The sequence below is a fragment of the Homo sapiens genome, chromosome 5 (assembly GCF_000001405.40).
Source record: "Homo sapiens chromosome 5, GRCh38.p14 Primary Assembly".
NCBI lineage: Eukaryota > Metazoa > Chordata > Mammalia > Primates > Hominidae > Homo > Homo sapiens.
The window spans coordinates 56582248-56604144 of NC_000005.10; the positions used below are offsets into that span (position 1 = coordinate 56582248).

A 21897-nucleotide genomic window follows, 5' to 3' on the forward strand; every position below is an offset into this window, starting at 1 on the left:
TGGTCAGGCTGGTCTCGAACTCCTGACCTCAAGTGATCCACACGTCACAGTCTCCCAAAGTGTTGGGATTACAGGCATGACCCACTGTGCCTAGCCTGATTTCTGTCTTTTGTATGGCTGCATAGTATTTCACAGTTTATATGTACCACATTTTCTTTATCCAGTCTGTCACTGATGGGCATTTAGGTTGATTCCATGTCTTTGCTACTATGAAAAGTGCTGCAGTGAACATTTGCATGCATATGTCTTTATGGTAGAATGATTTCCATTCCTCTGGGTATATACCCAGTATAGGATTGCTGGGTCAAATCGTAGTCGTGCTTTTAGCTCTTTGAGGAATTGCCGTACTGCTTTCCCCAATGGTTGAACTAATTTACACTCCCACCAACAATGTGCAAGTGTTCCTTTTCTCCATATCCTCACCAGCAGTCTAGACTTTTTAAGGGTAAGTTAGACTACCTACTTATATCTGAAAGTAACTAGAAAAGCCAAGGTATCTGCCACAGAATTCATCCATAGGCAGGCAAGGAAACAACAGAGTGAATTTCAAGAGTCAACAATGAGCAGGAATAAAGTTGCTTTCTATTTATACCCTACCAACTTCAACTTGTTCAATAGACTGCTTACAAATATGTACTACACACACCCATACATATACTATACTTCTATTCTCATGGATACTTTTAGTCACCTAGATTCTCTGCAAAGACACAGTACAAACTGATAAAAGCAGTTTCCCCTGGGAAAGGGGAACAGATGGTTTTGGAGCAAGAGTGAGAGATACCTTAAATTATGCCTTTTGGATTCTGATCATAAACACATAGTTTTAAAAATTCATTTAAATTCAAAATATTTTAACTAGTATGGAAAGTAAAGCAAATAGAAAATTAAAATAGGAAAGTAACGTGGAGCCAGGCATAGGTTAGTTTACTAAATACATAGCATAAAGTCAGATAAACTTGCTATGGAGTAGAAGGCAAATTTGGCTCTAAGTCTCTGGTTACCAGCGTGAAGAAAGAAACAGCACGATTTCCACTGTTCATCAGGAAAAACAAACCATTTGCTCAGGACAAACAAAGCTACTTCTAGAACTAAAGCCAGAGTTAAATTTCTCCTATGGATTCTCTCTTTTGAGTCCCCAAAAGTAGTGAAGAATACCTTCCCTAACCTCATTATTATAAACACAGGGCAAAACTAATAGCGTTGCCAATCTTATGATGTTTGTTATTATTAGTAACAGGAGCTAAAGGTGATATGAACCAGGGTTCATTATTGGCTTTGTAGGTGAATTAATAAAATCACAGCAATTATTTGGCTTTAGTAGAAGTAATGAGAAGAAAATTAAGTGGTCTTGTTACCAGTGGAAGAGACCCAAGTTACCGGCAGTGAATCCATAAGGGGTCCACAGCAACTTCAGTTCTTGCCTCCTCTGAAGAAAGAATTTGACTGAGGGGCATATAGCAGAAGAAGAGACCAAGGCAAGTTTCGGGGCAGGAGTAGAAGTTTATTTAAAAGGCTTTAGAACAGGAAAGAGAGGAAAATTCGCTTGTAGGAGACCCAAGCGGGTGCTTGAAGGTCCAAGAAAGAAAAGAGAGCAAAAGAAGACAGCAAAAAAGAGGGGCCTTTAACCTTGATCCTAGGACTTTATAGGCTTGCCTCTTTCCCAAGATTTTTCCTTTAGGGTGGGCTTTCCACATGCCCAGTGCTTTCCTTACCCGTTGGAGTTGAGAATGCACAATGTATTTAGGGAGTTATACACATGCCCATCTAAGGCTTTCTTCCCTTTTCCGGTGGAGTGTGCCCCCAGAAGATCATACTTCACCATTTTTGTCTCTTAACACGCATGCCCAGGAAGTTGCTTCTCCCTGGGGCCTGCATTCAATTAACATTTTGAGGTTAACAGGTGTGGACCATCAGGAAATGGCCTCTCCCTGGAGCTGCCAAATACATATTTTTAGAGAGGCAATGCAATAATTGCCAAACCATCACCCAACATTTCTAGTGGGTTGGGGGAGAACCCTGTCCTGCCCTGCTCATGCCTAACTACCTGTAACAGTCTATGGCCCTGAATCATTAGGCTGCTCCTACTTGAAATTCACTCAATCTTCAGAGTCAGATGCATCCAACTGTCCATCAAAGATTTAAGTTCACAACAGGTTGTCTTCAGATAATATTTGAGCTTTGAGGCCTGTGCACTGTGCAATGAATGAATGATATAGTTGCACAGAATGTTCACCTAAATATCTTCACTACAAGCCAAAGTAAATGTGAATCACCTACCACTACTCGCATATGTGAATGGATAAAATTAGAAAGACTGACCACACCAAGTGCTGATAAGGATGTGGAGGAACTGGAACTCTTATAAGCCACTGATGGAAACACCAGATGATGTGACTACTTTGGAAAATTGTTTGACAGTTTCCTTAAAAGTTACACATACAGCTACCATCTGAGCTAGCCATTCTATCCCTAAGTACTTACCCAAGAAAAAAGGGAAAATGGCCAGGTGCAGTGGCTCACGCCTGTAATCCCAGCACTTTGGGAGGCCAAGGCAGATGGATCATGAGGTCAGGAGTTCGAGACCAACCTGACCAACATGGAGAAACCCCATCTCTACTAAAAATACAAAAATTAGCTGGATGTGATGGCATGCACCTGTAATCCCAGCTACTAGGGAGGCTGAGGCAGGAGAATCACTTGAACCTGGGAGGCAGAGGTCACATTGAGCCAAGATTGTGCCACTGCACTCCAGCCTGGGCGACAGAGCCAGACTCTGCCTCAAAAAAAAAAAAAAAAAAAAAAAAAGAAAGAAAGAAAAAGAAAAAAGGGAAAATGTATCTATACCAGACTTGTACACAAACAGTAGCAGCTTTATTTGCAATAGCAATCCATACATCCATCAACAGGTGAATGAATAAACAAATCGTGATATGTACATACAATGGGACAACAGTAAAAAGAAATTAACTATTGATACATGTAACATCAATGCTTGAGTGGTTCTTATGCCTCAAGAACTTTACACTGTTTCATTTAAGTCCCATGTCCGCCCTATAAGGTAAATACTATTGTTCCCTCTTTGTAGACTTGAGAAAACTGAAGGTTAGAGAAGGTCAGCAATTTGTCTGGGGTTACCAGCTGATGAGTGGATGAGACACAGACCAAGTCAGTCTGACACAGTATTCACACACACTGTGTAGCAGGGAGCAGGACTGCTTTGATCGCCTTGGACCTAAGAACCCCTTCAAGGTGAGGTAGTACCATGCAGGAGATGACCTCCAACAACCAGAAGGGGCTCAGGGATGGTGCAGAGAAGGCAACTTTGAAAGAGGAAGACATTTTTTCTTTCTTTGGATAATGCCCAGATGACTCACCCTTTCTCCTCTCTCAGCTCCAAATCTTCATGTCTTAATCTTGATGTGTCAGATCTGGGGACCTATTGGAGTGCTCCCCAGAGAGGTTGTCCTTCTGTCTCAAAGCACAGGTTAGGACAAGCAGCAGCTCTATTTGGGCATCTATTCCTGAAGCGAGCTGCAATTTGATATTCTTTTACTGTTTACTTCTGCTTTAATTACAGGGTGGGGGAAAGAGCTCCTAAAATTTGCCAAAAACTTTGGTGATTTTTAAAAAGTCCTTCTTTACTTTCCAATTATTCAACTCTGCTGGGAAAGGCAATAGGAACGCTTTTGGAACTGAGTTTGCTGCTGAGTTGCCAGGGTTTCGAGATCTCTGCAAAGGTCATTGTTTTTTGTAAAGGTCATTGTCTTTTCATGAAAACCCCGGCAAAGCATGCCAACGCAGGAAAGCCACCAGCTTGCCAAATGTCCGGTGTCCCAGTCACCTGCTCTTCCTGCCCTAGGAAGGATGTGAGATGATCTCTGGAGTAAAGACATCAGATGGGGTTTGTTCCTTTCTTGCTCTTAAATCAGCTGCAAAATGCAAGAACAAAGCACACACAGGATGATTCCCTGAGCCCTGTGCCGCCTCCTCGTTAAAGGCCAGCAGCTGCTGGGTGTTGCACAGAGCGAGATAAGCAATACGACATTTGTAGCCGTTCACATCCTGAACGTAGAGCATTGTGTTCTCAACGGAATTTCTGAGGCTTCAAGCCCTGAAGAATACCCAACAAGTGAAAATACAGAGAAAGGGTGTGCTCTGCTCAGGGGTCCTGGGTGGGGTGGGGGATACACAGCAGGAAGGGCAGGCAGAATCCAGCAACCAAGTCACGAGTCGCTAGCTCTTCAGAAAAGTGGCTCTGCTGACAAGAGAATTAGGGCAGGATGATTTTGGCAAGCCCCGTGTTGTGTTAGCTGCGCAAACTTTTTCTGTTCTCTTATGCAGCCTCTTAACAACTGGGTGGGGGCATCTTTTCACATTTCATGGAGAGGCTGATTCTTGTCAGATGTTTAGCAAAGGGCTTCCACATTAGGTTTATCAAGCACACACAATTCCAGATGCAACGCGGAGTCCATTTAGTTTGAGAAGATTAAAATGTGCCGTTTCCTGCCATTGGCAGCATTTTCATTTTTCCTCTTTCCTTACAGTTTTCTCACATTACTTGAAGTGATTCTTACCCTTATCTTTACACTGTGTTTTAAAGAAAATTATGGGGGAGAGGAGAAAAGACCCAGAGTGTCACCGGGAGCACCTGACAGGAAGCCGCTAAACTGTGTGAGCACCTCCTGATTGGAGATATTCTCCTCCCCGTTGGATGCCTCTGATTTACCTCTCTATGGACAGATACTAATTTCAAACCCATGGCCATAAGATTATTTCAATGACTTCCCTTCCATCTTCCTGCCTCCTCCAATAGCCTCGATGTCCTTATTCCTCCCCCCAACAAGCCTACCTCAGTCACCCACCATCAACAAACACAAATGCAGCTCTCCACAGGTCTCTCACAAAGAGTCTACACAGATCCCACACCAACCAACTCCTACACCCAAGCCAATGCCCCAAGAATGTTATCATCATCTGAGAGAAGGGCTAGGACAGGCCACCCAAATACAGTAGTGACTGTACTGTACTGACAGAAGCAACTCAGGATATATGTGTTTGTGTGTGTGTGTGTGTATCTATATATATATATATATCTCCATATGTTCTCTTCGAAGGAGATATCCCTAGAGAAATATATGTGTATAACTAAATATATGAACACTTTCACTTAATGTAGATTTAAATATATGTAGATACATGTATATATATTCTTTCCCCTATCCCATCCATTCATTCATTTATTCAACTTAAATTCATTTAGTGTTTACTGTATGCCAAGCACTGTTCTAGGCAGTGAAGACTCAACAGGAAGAAAGAGCCAGGTGAAGACTGGCTAGGCAGTGAAGACTCAACAGGAAGAAACCGCATTTCCTGCACTTTGATAGGAAATGTTGGTAATCCTACATTTGGTAGAGTAAGACAAAAATAAACACATAAATGTATATTTCAGGTTATGATAGGGGATATGAAGAAAAAGCAAGCAGGGAGGTAGGAAGTGATGGGGATTGAGGGTGATGTTTTAGATGGGTGGTCAGGGAGGCCCTTGCTCAGAAGGGGAAGGCTGAGTGGAAAGCTGAAGGAAGCGAGCATGAGCCATAAGGACATCAGAGTGGACACCCAGGGAGAGGAAAAAGCACGTGCAAATGTCCTGTTTGGGAGCATGCTTCTTACTTTGAAGAAGCAGCAAAGAGGCCAGGAGTAGAAAGAGTAAAGGGAAGCGGTGGGAAATGAGGTAATAGAAGCGGGGCCCAGAATGAGAAAGGCAGACTCTGGCAAGCTCTGAACAGAGGAGAGGCACCATCTGATGACTACTGGCATAGCAGGATGCCTGCTGAGTAGGAAGAGTTTGAGCAGTCAGGGACAGAAGCAGGGAGCCTAGTTTGGAGGCAGCTGCAGTAATCCAGGTAAGAGGTGATGGAGCTGGGATAAGGTAGCAGTGAGAGAGGTGGGAGTGGAGAGTTTCTGGATATACTGAGAAGAGAGAGCTTCAGGAAGTGCTGATGGACTGGGCTTGCGGGATGGCCTTGGTCCTGAAACTCCTGGCAAGGGAATAGGCCCAGCTGTCAGCTTAGAGAGTGCAAATGCATCAGAAATCAAGGCCTCTTGAATTCTGGCTCTTACGCAAGAGGCAAAGACCCCATTTATTTAGCACCTACTATGTGTCAGGTGCTGCCTTAGGTATTTTCACAGAAACTTCTTCCTCACAAATCTTTGAGATGGGTTTGACTACTTCCACTTCATGGGTAAGGAAACCAGAATCTCAAAGAAGTTCAATCAGTCAGGGACGGAGATCTGAACCTGTGTCTACCAGTCCCCAGGGCTGTTAATCAGAGACCTTTACAGAGGGAGAGCCTAGCAGAGTGGCTTGGGGGTCGGGGGTCGCTGCAAGCTCAGCAAAGGGAGGCACCAGAATAAGGGAACCCTCACACCCTCCCAGGCAGCCACAGCTTCGCACCAGAGCTCCAGGGTGGAGCTGCAAGTCACGGGTCTGACCTAGCACCAAGCTTCCTCAATAGGATCCAGGATGTAGCTGCTGGGGCTGCAGCCACCGGAAGCAGGAAAACCAACTAGGGACAGGCAGGAGATCCAGTTGACCCATCCAAGCCCCAGGCCCGGCTTTCCTGCGTGAGAGGGAGGGTGCCACCAGGTGCTGCCCACAGCCCCTGTAGTCAACGCCCTTCAAATTTAGTTTCCACATTTCAGCCTCCACACACCAAAACTTTCAGCTAGCCATCCTGGGAGGAGCCCCTAGGTCGCTGCCTCTGGGCTGGCTGGGGCCGATTGGAGGAAATGGGCCTGCACTCAACACTTGTGCACCTGCACTGGGCGTTGTGTATTTCTCCTCTGGTTGCCAGAGCAACAGAAACAACAGTGGCTGCTGAAACCCCCTTAACACCACAGCCCAGGCTGACCCTGACCAATGGCAGCCAGACCTTGCATCTTGGCCTCTTCCCTTTCCTCTCACCCCCCTGAAAGTATCTCCTCTGAAACCAAAAACTTAACCGGCCTCTTTCACTGAGCTGAAATGGTTCTCAGAGCTTGCCCAACTCTGAGCTCTTCCTGACACGCCTGGGTTTCTGACTGTCAGCACCCCAGGGAGAGGGTGGGACGCCCAGATCCAGGCATGGAGCAGAATGTCGCCTAGGGAGAGCGCCGGGAGCCTCCTCCTCAGAACCACTGCGGAAGCTACTTTACTGCAAACAACCTAAGTAAAGTGGGCAGCTTCCCAAGGTGTGGCCCCAGCTGCTGACCCCAGAGTTTGTACTCAAACACCCGTGGGCCTGGCTACTGCCCTTATTGACAAATCCAATCTCATCAGATGCTCTGGGGCTGTAGGTCTTCATTCCATGTCAGGAATGCCCCGCTTTGAGAGGACTTGTGATTGTGGTAATTTATGACACCAGCTGCTGTGAAAATGACTGGGGAATGGGCAAATTGCCCTGCCTGTAAACTCACAAATGGACATCCAGGACCAGAGATGCCCTCGCTCGGAAGCAAGCACCCATATCGCCCTGCCTCAAACTGTGGGGTGCTGGGCTAGCTCACGTTTCATCTCTCAGGTTGCTGTTCAAGTTGCAACCAGAGAATTCCATGTGCTCAGCTGGGAAACAGGACACCAGGGTCCTTCCCTCCATTCTGTGAGTATCCACCACAGGAGGGTGAGGGAAGAGGGCACCTCTATGCTGTTTTTTTAGTTATTTCCACAACCCCACAAGTTAAATATAGCATTTTCCACATGTGTACAACTGAGAAAATCAAAGTTCAGTGAGGTTAAGTGACTTGTCTGAGATTGCACAGTGAGCAAGTAGCAGGACCAGGATTTGAATCCAGATTTCCTATCTCACATTATACTGTAGAGGCATATTTAAAGTCTTTAATAAAGGGCTCAGTTCCTTGATTATCCCACACAATAAACAAAATCATAGGTACTCTATTAGTTTGCCAGGGCTGCCATAACACAGTATCACAGTCTGGGAGGCTAGCAACAGGAGTTTATTGTCTCACGATTCTGGAGGCTAGAAGGCCAAGATCAAGGAGTGGGCTACTTCTGAGGCCTCTCTCCTTGGCTTGTAGGTGGCCATCGCCTCCTCCCTGGGTCTCCACATGCTCTTCCCTCTGTACATGTCTATGTCCTACTCTCTTCTTATGAAGACACCAGTCACGTTGGTAATCCTAGCGGGATAATTCCAGTGACCCCATTTAACAATAATTACCTCTTTAAAGACTCTCTTCAAATGCAGTCACATTCTGCGGTATCAGAGATTAGGATACATGAATTTGGAGGGGGAAGATACAATTCACTCCATAACAGGTACCAAGCCCTGTCTTTTCAATGCTTGTTTTAGCTCCTCAATAATAAAATATAACAACAATATTCTAAATATAAATAAATATGGTAGGCATTCAAATGATCATGAAAAAAGAAGGCTTTTACTAAAAGTTAATTGTCTTTCTTTTTTTTTTTTTTTTTTTGAGACACTGTCTTGCTCTGTTGCCCAGGCTGAAGCGCAGTGGTGTGAAGCTCAGTGGTGTGATCTCAGCTCACTGCAACCTCTGCCTCCCAGGCTCCAGGAATCCTCCCACTTCAGCCTCCTGAGTAGCTGGGACTGTAAGTGCATACTACCATGCTCAATTAATTTTGCTAATTTTTGTATTTGTTGTAGAGATGGGGTTTCATCATGTTGCCCAGGCTGGTCTCGAACTCCTGGGCTCAAGCAATCCTCCTGCTTCAGCCTCCCAAATTGCTGAGACTACAGGCTTGAGCCACTGTACCTGGCCAAGAAATTGATTTTCAGCTGCCATTCTGTTAGCAATTTTTTTCCGAAAGCATTTCCTATGTACAAAACACTTTGATCATTACAATGCCATATGGTACATAGCGCCTCTACTCATTAAACTTTCACTAGAGCTGAGAAGATAAGAAGACATAGACCCAAATAACAACCATACAAAGCAGACATGCTCTATGCCCCAAGAATGGTGCCCTGTAGAGTACCAGGAAGTCCACAGGATGAGACATCACTTCTATTTGGGATAATCAAGGAAGACTTCCTGGAGGCGGTGACTTTAAAGCTTGACCTTAATGTCACATGGGATTTTAATCGACAAAAATCGGCGATGTTGGCTTTTCAAACCATACATTTGGACCTTATATTTGGATTTTTACCCCTAAAATTTCTATATAAAAATAGGAATAATATTTACAACATCATCCTGCTACACATACCTTGATGAGGAGCATCTCCAAGGAGACCAAGAAAGAAAAAGGGCAGTGTCCAGAGAAATAGAACCCAGCAGTCTGGTGCACCTGAGTCTCTCTTAAGCCCATATAAAATAGATGACAGGCTTCCATGTGTGCTGCGCCCCTCTTCCCTCACTGGTAACCACATGCCTGCAGCAGCCAGCAAAAAGTCTGACACTGTTGTGAGGCTGTCGTCAGCCCAATTTCTCGTTTGTTTGTTTGTTTGTTTTGACAGAGTCTTGCTCTGCCACCCAGGCTGGAGTGCAGTGGCAGGATCTCAGCTCACTGCACTCTTTGCCTCCTGGGTTCAAGCAAGTCTCCTGCCTCAGCCTCCAAGTAGCTGGGATTACAGAAGCACACCATCACACCTGGCTAATTTTTGTATTTTTAGTAGAGACGGGGTTTCTCCATGTTGGCCAGGCTGGTCTCAAATTCCTGACCTCAGGTGATCCACTCACCTTGGCCTTCCAAAGTGCTGGGATTACAGGTGTGAGCCACCACACCCGGCCGATTTCTCATTCTTTATTCAGAAATCAGGAGGGGGCTCGTTTCCCAAGATAGGATAAGACGTTGGGCAGACAGGTGGCTCCAGAAACATTTTACCCAAGAACTAGGTTTATCCTCCATCTTCTGTGACTTTGGAACTCTTAGCCTTTTCCTTTCATTACTCTTCTGTATCTGTCTTTAATAGAGCAGAGACCATTTAAATCACAAGGCCAGCTTGCTGTACTTGGGGGAGTTCTCAGGGTACAAACCAAGCATGGGGTATGTCTGATTTTGTACTTAGTTCTCCCTGCTAGGAAAGCTCTTCTGTCTCCCATCCAAAGTAGTTTTCTCTTAGCCCTCAAAACTCAGCTCAAAGAGCACCCCTTCAGAGAAACCAATTCCTTTCACAGACACTCATATCTAGGGCAGGTTTCTCTACTATATTGTCCCATTATTCCTCTCCTTCACAGTTTGTAGCAACATATTAGTTTGTATCTCCTGCAGCAGATCTTAACTTCCACAAAGGCATGTATGGGCCACGATTATCCTCATGTCTGACACATGGAAGGTGCCCCCACATGTGGACCAAACCACTGGGAGGCAGCCTGATGTACCAGTAATTGGAGTCAGACAGACCTTAGTTGGAATGCCAGCTCCAACACCTACTATTTGGACAATTGATTACAATTCCTGTATCTCAGCCTCCCCTATTACAAAATGAGGATAATCATGTTTATTTCACAAGATTGTTATGAGAAACATATAGATAAGAACATCTAGCTGGCATTTTGTGAGTGCTCATGCAGTAATATTAATTGCTTTACTTCTTTTATTACCCGAACAGGCTCACCATGGTTCTCAGGGAAGCTTGACTCTCAGGCCACTCAGACCTTCCTTCATAAATCCCAAAGTCTGCCCTAGAATTTTAACTCAAGATTGAAAATGCTTTCTGGAGCTCTCTGAAGCTGAATTGGGAGGTTTCATTATCCACTGTGTCTGTAAGTGTTCTAAGCTGCAAGAAATGGGAACGAACTCCTTCGTCTAAGATGAAAAGGAAGTCCTCAAAAGTAAATAGGCTGCTCGGAGTTTCTAGAATGATGCAGAACCAGGTGCAAGGGCTCTCCCTCAAGAACAATACCCCACATCAGGCCACAGAGCTGGGCCACGAAAGATGCTGCTGCAGTTGACACCAGGCACAGGCCAGCTCCAAGTACTGTGTGTGGTTGGCCCTGGATGCTGGATGCTGGCTATGGAACCACAGTCCTTGTTGCCTCTGGGAACTAAGCATAGAGTCACTGCTGTCTTGCCCTCATCAGAATGGAGGTCTGTCCATAGTGCCTCTTTTAGCGCTGCTTCAAAGTCTAGGAAAGGGGCCATGCACAGTGGCTCACGCCTGTAATCCCAGTACTTTGGGAGGCCGAGGTGGGCAGATCACCTGAGGTTGGGAGATTGAGATCATCCTGGCCAACAGGGAGAAACCCCGTCTCTACTAAAAATACAAAAAATTAGCTGGGCGTGGTGGCGCATGCCTGTAATCCCAGCTACGTGGGAGGCTGAGGCATGAGAATCGCTTGAATTCAGGAGGTGGAGATTGCGGTGAGCCAAGATCACACCATTGCACTCCAGCCTGGGCAACAAGAGTGAAATTCCGTCTCAAAATTAATTAATTAATTAATTAAATTAAATAAAAAGCATTTTAAAAGTCTAGGAAAGGCAATTCTGACTGGTGGAACCCAGGTTAACGTGCCCATAAATTCGCTGCAAAGCAGGCTGAGGAAACACAGGTCTGCCACATTCAGCTTTTCTATGAGAGAAGCCTCTGCCTTATCAGCTCAGGAATTCCTCCCCAAAAGGAAAGGGGTTCAGTCACTGGACATCTAAAACACTGACAACTGCCTGCCATCCCCTGGAATGGACTCGGCTCCTATTTCCCGAGTCTTTCCTCACTCTACCCGTGCTAGCCTCATTGACTAAGTCCTTAATTGACCACTCTCCACATACAAGCATGCTCTAGGTGACTCCTCCCTGCCCCATATCCCTGTTCAAATATTTTCATTTTCTTTACTCTTTTTTCATCCATTTGTATCAGTTTTCTTCCTCCAAAGTCATATGTGCCCAGGATTCTACATGCATGTAACTCCACAGTCAGTCCATTTCACAGCTCAACTCTTATTTCTAAAGTTCAATTTATTTCAGAATTACCCTTAACCTATTTAGAATGGGAGCAAATTCACATTTACACAATATTTTAGGGAAGAGTTCCTTCTCTCATGTGCCCACCCATGTCAATGTCTGAAACAGCCAGCCTCAGTGAACATTATGCTCTTAAGATGGTCTTCAAAAAGTACTATTCTTTGGTCAAATGAATTTAAGAGAAGTTTCCCTGTGAGAGTTACAATGCACATTAGGTAATTAAAGGTCTGGAAAGTCATGAAATACAGAAGCCTATTTAACTTTTAAACCCAACACTTCCAAAGCGTATTTGACTACAAACCATCCCCACATTTTTTGTTGTTGTCTTTATAACACTTTTTTACATCCAAAGCATGCTGCAATAAAGCTTCTTAAGATACTTTATTCAGAAGATTCTCATGTTCCCTTCCTCCTGAAAAAACTATCCCCAAGTAAATGAATCTCTGCTCAGCTTGGAGAAGGAGAACAGAGACAATGGGGAGAGGTGCCATACTGTAGACCCTTGCTACTCAAAGTGCAGTCCGTGGACCAGAAGCATTACCATTACCATCACCGAGGAGCTTGGGAAATGTAGCATCTCAGGTCCCACCCCAGACCTGGGAAACCGGAATCTGCATTTTAGCAAGTTTATTCCTATGCACAGTAAAGTTTGACCCATACTGGCATAGATAACTCCTACACCTAAAATCTCCAATTCCCCATAATGAACACGTCAGGAGTTCAACTCATGCCCAAGTTTCCATAAGTAGAATTTGCTCCTCCCTTTAGGGTTTTACAGAGCTCAGCATTCTTTTTCAGGGTGGGCCCACACCCTTTGGAATTCTGGGAGTTTAAGGAAACCTTAGCATTTTGTGGTTTGACCACAAAGAAGCTGAGCTGACTTCTATGATCTTTTATGAAACATCCCGTGGGGAACCTCTGGCCTCCAGCATTGAGGGATGTGCCATCAGGACTATCACTGGAACACCTGGGAGGTACTGTTATAACAAGCCACAGCCAGGTAGCGTTTAGAAATCCAATTCTGCACAGAGTACAAATGGAATTCTAAAAGGGCACTTCATTCATTTTCTGCAAAACTAGTCTCCCAACCACCAGCATGTGTATTTACCAAATGCAGTAGATTTTAAAACAACATAAACTATAACCCAAAGCAATGCTGGTATCTGGACCTCAGCCAGCCTGCCACCCTGTTCACCTGCCTTAGGTTACAAAAGGTTCCTATAATGACCTGCTTCGTAGAGTTGGATGTGAAGGGATTTCAAATCAAACAAACCCAGGTTCAAATACTGGTTCTGCCTCTTACCAGTCCAGTTGAGCCAACCATTTTGCTTTTTCTCTCTTAGCTGTGGGTTCTTCCCTGTAAAACAGGGCCATGAGGATTGGCTTCACAGAGCTGTTGTAACGAGGACTCCATCAGGTGAGATGTGGGAAGCACCAGCTCAGTGCCTTTCTGGTGCCAAGAGCTTCAACCACATTAGATACTTCCCCCCATCCTGCCATTCCCAGCCCACTCCCCAAGTGTCAGCTCAGGAATTCCCTTCCTGTAGGCTTCCATCCTGAGGCGACCACCCTCCAAGCCCTGTGGCTGTGGAAATAGCCTGGATCCTCCTTCACTCTTCAACCACTGTGGTCACCTAGCCTCTGCCCTCCCAATTACCACAGACCACAGCTCCAGAGGCAGCCTGGAGAGCTAGCAAATTTCTTTTTCCACCTCCCTGACAGCCCTGTGGGACCACTCCTAATCTGTGACAGGCTTGGGGAAGGAGGCAAAGGAGGAGAGCTTGGAAGTAAATGGGAGAGGCAGGGCTGGGGGGAGTCCTTTCTCCACAGACCTACAGTCTGGGGTTTATACCTTCTGCCTCTGAGAAGAAATAAAGAAAAAGGAAAATGTGGTATACTTTCCTCTTAAGCCATTGAAATAAGGTAAATAAATGAACCTGTTTTCTTCTATTTAAACTTGGAGCTGGTAGAAGTTGATTCTACTAACCAACTCTCATGCAGGGATACCGAGGAAGAATCTTCATGGAGGGAAAGCACGTCTATCATGGGTAAGTCACCATTCCCTTAAACGGAAGAGGCAGAGATATAACCATTGAGTAACCAGACTCCCAATGACATGTGAACTGAGACTGAACAAGATCACGAGCCACTGATTGATGATTGCTCCAATGACTTGTGGCTCATTGTTAGTACCAAGGGAGCATTGTTGCTAATCCTCCCAGCTATGAGTGTTTTCCAGATGAGATAATGTTCTGTGGACTGAGAGTGTGCACATTAGCAACACTGGCAAGGTGAAGATGAAGATGATCAGTGTGAATAAACAGCAAGTGGTATACAGCCAGGCCTCAGAGATGGCAGGCTTGGTTCCAGACTATCCCAATAAAGTTAGCATCACAATAAAGCAAGCCACATTAATTGTTTGGTTTCCTACTGCATGTAACTGTTATGTTTCCACTACACCATAGTCTATTGTGTGCAACAGCATTATGTTTTAAAAAGTAATCCACATAGCTTAATTTAAAAGTACTTTATTGCTAAAAAAAAAAAAGTGCTAACAATATGGAGCCTCCAGCAAGTCATAATCTTTTTGCTCGTGCAGAGTCCTGCCTAGATGTTGATGGCTCCTGAGTGATCAGAGTGGTGGTTGCTGAAGGTTGGGGTAGCTGTGGCAATTTCTTCATGGACAATGAAGTTTACTGCAGCAGTTGACTCTTCCTTTCACAAAATATTTCCGTTAATTTTTTTTTTCTTTGAGGCAGGATCTCGGTCTGTCACCGAGGCTAGAGTGCAGTGGCATGATCTTGGCTCACTGCAACCTCCGCTTCCCAGGTTCAAGCAATTCTCATGTTTCAGTCTCCTGAGTAGCTGGGATTACAGGCAATCACCACCACACCCAGCTAATTTTTGTATTTTTAGTAGAGACAGGGTTTCACCATGTCAGCCAGGCTGGTCTCAAACTCCTGACCTCAGGTGATCCACCCACCTCAGCCTCCCAGAGTGCTGGGATTATACGTGTGAGCCACCACGCCCGGCTCACAAAATATTTCTCTGAAGCATGCAGTGTTGTTTGACAGCATTTTACCCACGGTAGAACTTCTATCAAAACTGAAGTCAATCCTCTCAAACTCTGCTGCTGCTTTATCAACTAAGTTTATGGAGTACTCTAAATGCTTTGTTATCATTTCAACGGTGTTCAATGCATCTTCACCAGGAGAAGATTCTATCTCAAGAAACCAGTTTCTTTGCTCATCTGTTAAAGTTCTATCATGAGATTACAGCAATTCAGTCACATCTCCAGGCTCTACCTCTAATTCTAGTTCGCTTGCTATTTCCATGACATTTGCAGTTACTTCCTCCACTGAAGACTTAAATTCCTCAAAGTCATCTATGAGGGTTGGAATCAGCTTTTTCCAAACTCCTGTTAATGTTGATATTTTGACCTCCTCCCGTGAATCACGAATGTTTTCACTGGCATCTAGAATGGTGAATTCTTTTCTGAAGGTCTTCAATGTACTTTGCCCAGATCCATCAAAGGAATCACTATCTATGATAGCTATAGCCTTGCAAAATACATTTATTAAATAATAAAACTTGAAAGTCAAAATTACTCCTTGATCCACGGGTTACAGAATGAATATTATTAGCAGGCATAAAAGTAACATTAACCTCCTTGTACCTCTCCATCAGAGCTCTTGGGTGACCAGGTGCATTGTCAATGAACAGTAATATTTTGAAAGGAATCTTTTTTTCTGATTAATAGGTCTTAATAATGGGCTCAAAATATTCAAGACGCCATGCTGTAAAGAGATTTGCTATCATCCAGGCTTTGTTGTTCCACTTAGAGAGCATAGGCAGAGGAGATTTAGCATAATTCTTAAAGGACCTAGGATTTTTTTGAATGGCAAACAAGTTTTGGCTTTAACTTTACGTCAACAGCTACATTAGCTCCTAACAAGAGAGTCAGTCTGTCCTTTGAAGCTTTGAAGCCAAGAATTGACTTCTCCTCTCTAGCTATGAAAGTCCTAGATGGCGGCCGGGCATGGTGGCTCAAGCCTGTAATCCCAGCACTTTGGGAGGCTGAGGCAGGCAGATCACAAGGTCAGGAGATCGAGACCATCCTGGCTAACACGGTGAAACCCCGCCTCTACTAAAAATACAAAAAATTAGCCAGGCGTGGTGGCAGGCACCTGTAGTCCCAGCTACAAGGGAGGCTGAGGCAGGAGAACGGCATGAACCTGGGAGGTGGAGCTTGCAGTGAGCTGAGATAGCGCCACTGTACTCCAGCCTGGGTGACAGAGCAAGACTCCATCTCAAAAAAAAAAAAAAAAAAAAAAAAGAAAACAGAAAAAAAGAAAGTCCTAGATGGCATCTTCTTCCAATAGAAGGTTGTTTCAACTACACTGAGAATCTGTTGTTTAGTGTAGCCACCTTCATCAATGATCTTAGCCAGATCTTCTGGGTAACTTGCTGCAGCTTCTACACTAGCTTTGCTGCTTCACTTGTACTTTTTGTTTGTTTGTTTGTTTTTTGAGATGGAGTCTTTCTCTGTTGCCCAGGCTGGAGGGCAATGGCACAATCTCGGCTCACTGCAATCTCCACCTCCAGGGTTCAAGCGATTCTCCTACCTCAGCCTCCCAAGTAGCTGGGGTTATAGGCATGAGCCACCACCCCCAGTTATTTTTCGTACTTTTAATAGGGATGGGGTTTCACCATGTTGGCCAGGCTGGTCTTGAACTCCTGACCTCAAGTGATCCACCCACATCGGCCTCCCAAAGTGCTGGGATTAGAGGCATGAGCCACTGCACTCAGCCCACTTTCTACTTCTATGTTATAAAGAGGGCTTCTTTCTTTAAACCTCATGAACTAACCTCTGCTAGCTTCAAACTTTTTTTTCTGCACCTTCCTCACCTCTCTCACCCTTCAGTGAATTGCAGAGAGTTAGGGCCTTGCTCTGGATTAGGCTTTGGCTTAAAGGAATGTTGTGGCTAGTTTGATCTTCTATCCAGACCACTGAAACTTTCTCCATATCAGCAATAAGGCTGTTTTGCTTTTTTTTTTTTTTTTTCTCATTTTTGTGTTCACTGGAGTAGCACTTCTAATTTCCTTCAAGAGTTTTTTTTTCTTTTTTTTTTTAATTCACAATTTGGCTAACTGTTTGGAGCAAGAGACCTAACTTTCAGCATATCTCAGCTTTCAATATGCCTTCCTCGCTAAGCTTAATCATTTCTAGCTTTTGATTTAAAGTGAGAGATGTGTGACTCTTCCTTTTACTTGAACACTTAGAGGCCATTGTAGGATTCTTAATTAGCCTAATCTCAATATTGTTGAGTCTCAGGGAACAGGGAGACCTGAGGGGAGGAGGAGGAATGGGAACGGTGGGTCAGTGGAGCAGCAGAACACACACAACAATTGTCAATTAAGTATCTTACTCGGGTGTGTTTTCTAGTGCCCCAAAACAATTACAATGGCAACATCAAAGATCACTGATCACAGATCATGATAACAGATATAATGATCATGGAAAAGTTTGAGATATTGTGAGAATTACCAAAATATGTCACGGAGACACGAAGCAAGCATATGTTAGAAAAATGGTGCTGATAAACTTGCCACAAACCTTCAATTTGTAAAAAGCATAATATCTGCCATGTGCAATAAAGAACTATAAAACAAGCTAGGCCTGCTGAAATGCATTGACCACTAAAAGTGTACAATAAGGCCATTTTCTAAAATAAATACTCCACAAATAATAATAAACGATTTTAAATATTCAGCAACAGTCCTCAGTTTTCTAAAGTATTTGAAGAGGGCACCATTTTTATATCCAGGGCTGAGGATGGGCCACCAAAGAATTTAACATTTGTTCCAGATGCCCGCCTTTCCCTGCAGAGAGCACCTGCTCAGAGCTCCATCTCACAGAGCTACTCAAAACGTGGCCCATGGACCAGAAAGGTTGGGAGCTTGTTAGAAATGCAGAGTCCTAGGCCCTGCTCCAGATCTATGGAATCAGAATCTGCACTTAAGCGAGGCCTGCAGGGGATCTGTGTGCTCATTACGATTCGAGAAGGGCTGTTTTAGAACATTAGAAACCAAAGCAGTTACTGCACCAGGTTATTCTCTGAGGGTGGTCAGGAAAGGCAGATTTATTCTGTCACATCCATGAAACAACTCTAAAGGGACAGTGCTCATTTGTGACATTACTCACCAGGGTAGGAGAACAGCACCTTTGTTCAAAGGCCCCCTGACACACTCCTACTCACCTAAATTAATGGCCCCAATGTGGTGGTGAACTCTTGAGGTAGGAGCAAAAAATTCACGTGCTAATGTACCCATGGAGCTGCATGACTCCCACAGGAAGCCCAGAATTGTGCTTTCAGACTCACAAGGCCTATAAAGTAGCAAGTTGGTCTTGGTCTTTCTGGCCATGATCATAAACTTTCAACCAGCAGCCAGGTCATAACAGGGAGGCACTGGAAGGTGTAATGACAACAGGTTGTACAACATCAGTGAAGTGGAGCCAAGGACAAAGGAAGAGGCAAGGAGAGGGAGGGATGTTTTACAACTTACCGGGAATTGTGACCAGTATGATGCACAGAGTTTCAGGCTTAAGATAGGGATGGGAAAAAGTAGAGAGGGGTTAACAACAGATGCTGATCTGTGGCTTTCATTAAATAAGTTCACATGTGTTCTTAAGGACCTTTGAATTTTGGAACATCTGTGACAATTTATGATTAGAATATTTGATGAAATGGTTTAAACTGAACAGAAAAACTTCCATACCAGAGCATTTTTATCAGATTTTTAAAAATGCACCCAAAGTCTCTATGAAACATATAAAAATAGGCTTATTTGGGTGTAATGTGAAAGTGAACCAGTCCAACTGTGCCACCAAGATCCTGCCTCTGATGATGCTTCTTTGCCCTCATTCTTCTCTGCCTTTCAGAGACCAGCCAGAAAAATCACAACATTCAACTGAATTAGCATCCTTCTACTTCCAAATCCTGTAGTGAGGAGGACGGTTAAGTTCCACAGACAGCTGCAAAAAGACTAGAAAATGCCCTTGTGGAAAAAGGCCTGATGTGGTTTCTTAGTTTTCAAGGAGTCCATTAACATGGGGAAAGGGCTTCATGGCGTAAGACTGCCAATCCATAGTACTTATCTGAATTTTATCTTCCATATTTACTCATAGATCTTCCACTTCAAAATCCTCTTTCAAAATTTCCAGGAGAAAATATGATTCTTCTCCAAGGCCACCCCCTTCCTCCCAGGAAGAAAAGGCAGGCTTGAGGGCAGCAGCCTTGAAAGACCCCTGACTTGGCTAAGAGGAACTGAACAATGTATGACAATGTGTGACATTCGTATGGCCCTGCCCTTATAAAGCTCCTTCACATGCATCATCTCAAGTTTCTGAAGAGGTATGAATTGTGTTTAATTAAAGCCCGAGTGATGGAAGCGGACAGAAAGTTATTTCGAGGCTGTTCACACATCTTCAGCCCCTCTTATCAAGCTTTCAGAGCTCTATTCTAAAGGTTAGGGGTGTAGGAGGCAATTATGTCTCTTCTCTAGCAGCTGCCAGAGATTACTGCCGTCAGAGTGATTATCACCAAATAATTGTTCCCTTTCTTCCCTGCTGACAGGGCAGAATGGGAACAGAGACTCATCTGAAATAGATTTTGTACTTGCTGAATGCAAGTTGGATAGCTCAGGTCAATGAGCATCCACTGAAGTATTTCAGCATCGTGCCTGTTGACCTCAGAGAAAAATTAAAATTCATCTGATACAAAAGGGAAAACCATCAAATGTCACCTGCTTGAGGTTATGCAGCTTTCTTGGAGTTGAGCAACTGTGGTTTCAGACTAGAATAAACATTTATTTTAGCCTGAAATAAATTGTCCTTTGCTGAGGATGATTCTAGAGGATAGAAACAAGAGGAGTATTTTCTGGAGCCTGAACTCTGAGACAAGTAACTGGCTTATTTCCATAGTGGTAGATATGAAAAGACTGCTCATAACCCCTCTCCTCCTGCCTGCCTTTATGACATTCACAGGGAGGTTATTAAAATCGTCCACTAGGCCTGTCTCTGGAGCAGTCACAGAATCCAAATTTTCCGATGAACTCCTCAAAGTTGTCATGATACTGAAGATAAATAGGCTATAATGTGAGTGAAGCATGCTGCAAATTCAGTAGTGTCACCTTTCAGCCTATCTACCCAACGAAGCTCTAGACTGCTGGGAAATGAAATGTTCCACACTAACAAATATTTATGTGCAATTCTATACAGGGTGGTGAGCAAGAATAAAGTAGAGTAGGTCATCATCATAATCTTTAATGTCTGGTAATATGAAGGGAGAAAGGTGGCCATCTCTTTTTTCTCTCTCATTGACAGAGATTTGATGTGATTTCAACCAACAAACCTGTATTATAGCCTGATGTATACCAGACATTATGCTAGAAGTTATGGGAACAGGGAGGATCCTGAGGTAACAAAGACAAGGTCTCTGCCCTCAGATGAGTTCACAGTGTGGCTCTTCCCTTTTTTCTAAAAGAGCCAGAATGATAATGAGACTTCTGAATCAGAAGAGTCATGGGATCGAAGTTTGAGATTTGGCTTCTCCACTTGCTAGCTTTTGACTTTGGGCAGGTCACTAGCCTCTCCATGCCTCAGTTTCTCTCTCTACAAACTGAGGATAAGGGTACTCCAGTAACCTACCTCAAAAGATTGTTGTAAAGACCAAATGAAATTGAACATGCAAAATCTCTTTCTAAATGGCAGAGCATCGTGCGAATATGATCTTATAATTATGAGTCACAGCAAAAGAGCGATTAGATTCCTAACAATGATACCTTCTACATAAACAATAACCTTGCCCAGCAACTGCCATCTTCTAAATCCCCTAAAAATCAGCACATGAGAAAGGCAGACTGGCTTTCCTTCAAAGGTAGGGGTGTGTTATAAAAAACATTTGTGTGACCCTAGCACCAAGAGCATAGCAAGTACTCAATAAATGCTGAAAAATTGGAGTTAGTCTGAGACTCCACAGTCAGATTAGAGAAAACAGAACCAAAGGGGCTACTCTGAAAGCAGGGGGTCAAACCATACATCTTAGTGGTCACAAATTAGTCCATTTGTTTTCGTATGTAATGTCAATATGTCAGTAGTAACGGTAAATGTTGCAATGATTTACCATAGACCACAATCATAAGGGATTCCTCTACCCCTTCTCCCTGCCCACTATCACCACAAGATTTTTCGCTAGTAGCTTTTATTGTTGATCAAGTTTCACTTTGACTGCAAAAGTCACAGTAGGTATCCTGTAGAAAGTGTTTGAAGAGATTGGGCGCGGTGGCTCACGCCTGTAATCCCAGCACTTTGGGAGGCCGAGGTGGGAGGATCACCTGAGGTCAGAAATTCGAGACCAGCCTGCCCAACATAGTGAAACCCCGTCTCTACTAAAAATACAAAAATTAGCCTGGTGTAGTGTCACGTGCCTTTAATCCCAGCACCCGGGAGGCTGAGGCAGGAAAATCACTGGAAACCGGGAGGTGGAGGCTGCAGTAAGCCAAGATCGTGCCACTGCATTTCAGCCTGGGTGTCACAAAAAAAAAAAAAAAGTGTCTGATTGAATAACTGGAAGACAATTTCAAAGGTATAAAGTTTGCATAAAAGAACTCAATGTCAGATTCTAGACCATGCAGGGCCCAGCACAAAGGCTCCAGACGCACATCAACTGTGGAGCATTGTTTTTTGAAGGAGGCAATGATGAGTGTAGTTCTAGTTAACATGCTCCCAATTTTTGACCTTTAGGCAAATAGTTTAAATTCATTCATCTACATTTTCCAAATCTATAAAACATATGTGCCACCTTTCTCGCACACACTTACACACAACAACAACAGCAACAACAAAAATAAACATCTCTAGAAGCCATGAGGGTTTGTTTTTTTTTTAAGATCTTATTTGTTCATTTAGGCCA

At 43.9% G+C, this 21897-nt stretch overlaps 1 long non-coding RNA gene across 1 annotated transcript in view, besides 3 other annotated features; it reads right to left on the minus strand.

The window, feature by feature from the left end:
• Positions 1–21897, minus strand: part of C5orf67 (chromosome 5 putative open reading frame 67) — a 94975-nt gene that overhangs the window by 70966 nt on the left and 2112 nt on the right. The gene's annotated exons all lie outside the window — the stretch shown is intronic.
• Positions 6553–6632: an enhancer, noted in NCBI's record as "active region_22567". NCBI's record gives its function as "activates an Ori minimal core promoter by ATAC-STARR-seq in GM12878 lymphoblastoid cells {active_cell/tissue: GM12878}" and the evidence as "EXISTENCE:reporter gene assay evidence [ECO:0000049][PMID:35858748]".
• Positions 6763–7022: an enhancer, noted in NCBI's record as "active region_22568". NCBI's record gives its function as "activates an Ori minimal core promoter by ATAC-STARR-seq in GM12878 lymphoblastoid cells {active_cell/tissue: GM12878}" and the evidence as "EXISTENCE:reporter gene assay evidence [ECO:0000049][PMID:35858748]".
• Positions 18099–20995: an enhancer, noted in NCBI's record as "VISTA enhancer hs1638". NCBI's record gives its function as "enhancer in: midbrain (mesencephalon)[5/9] | forebrain[6/9]" and the evidence as "EXISTENCE:transgenic organism evidence [ECO:0001131][PMID:17130149]".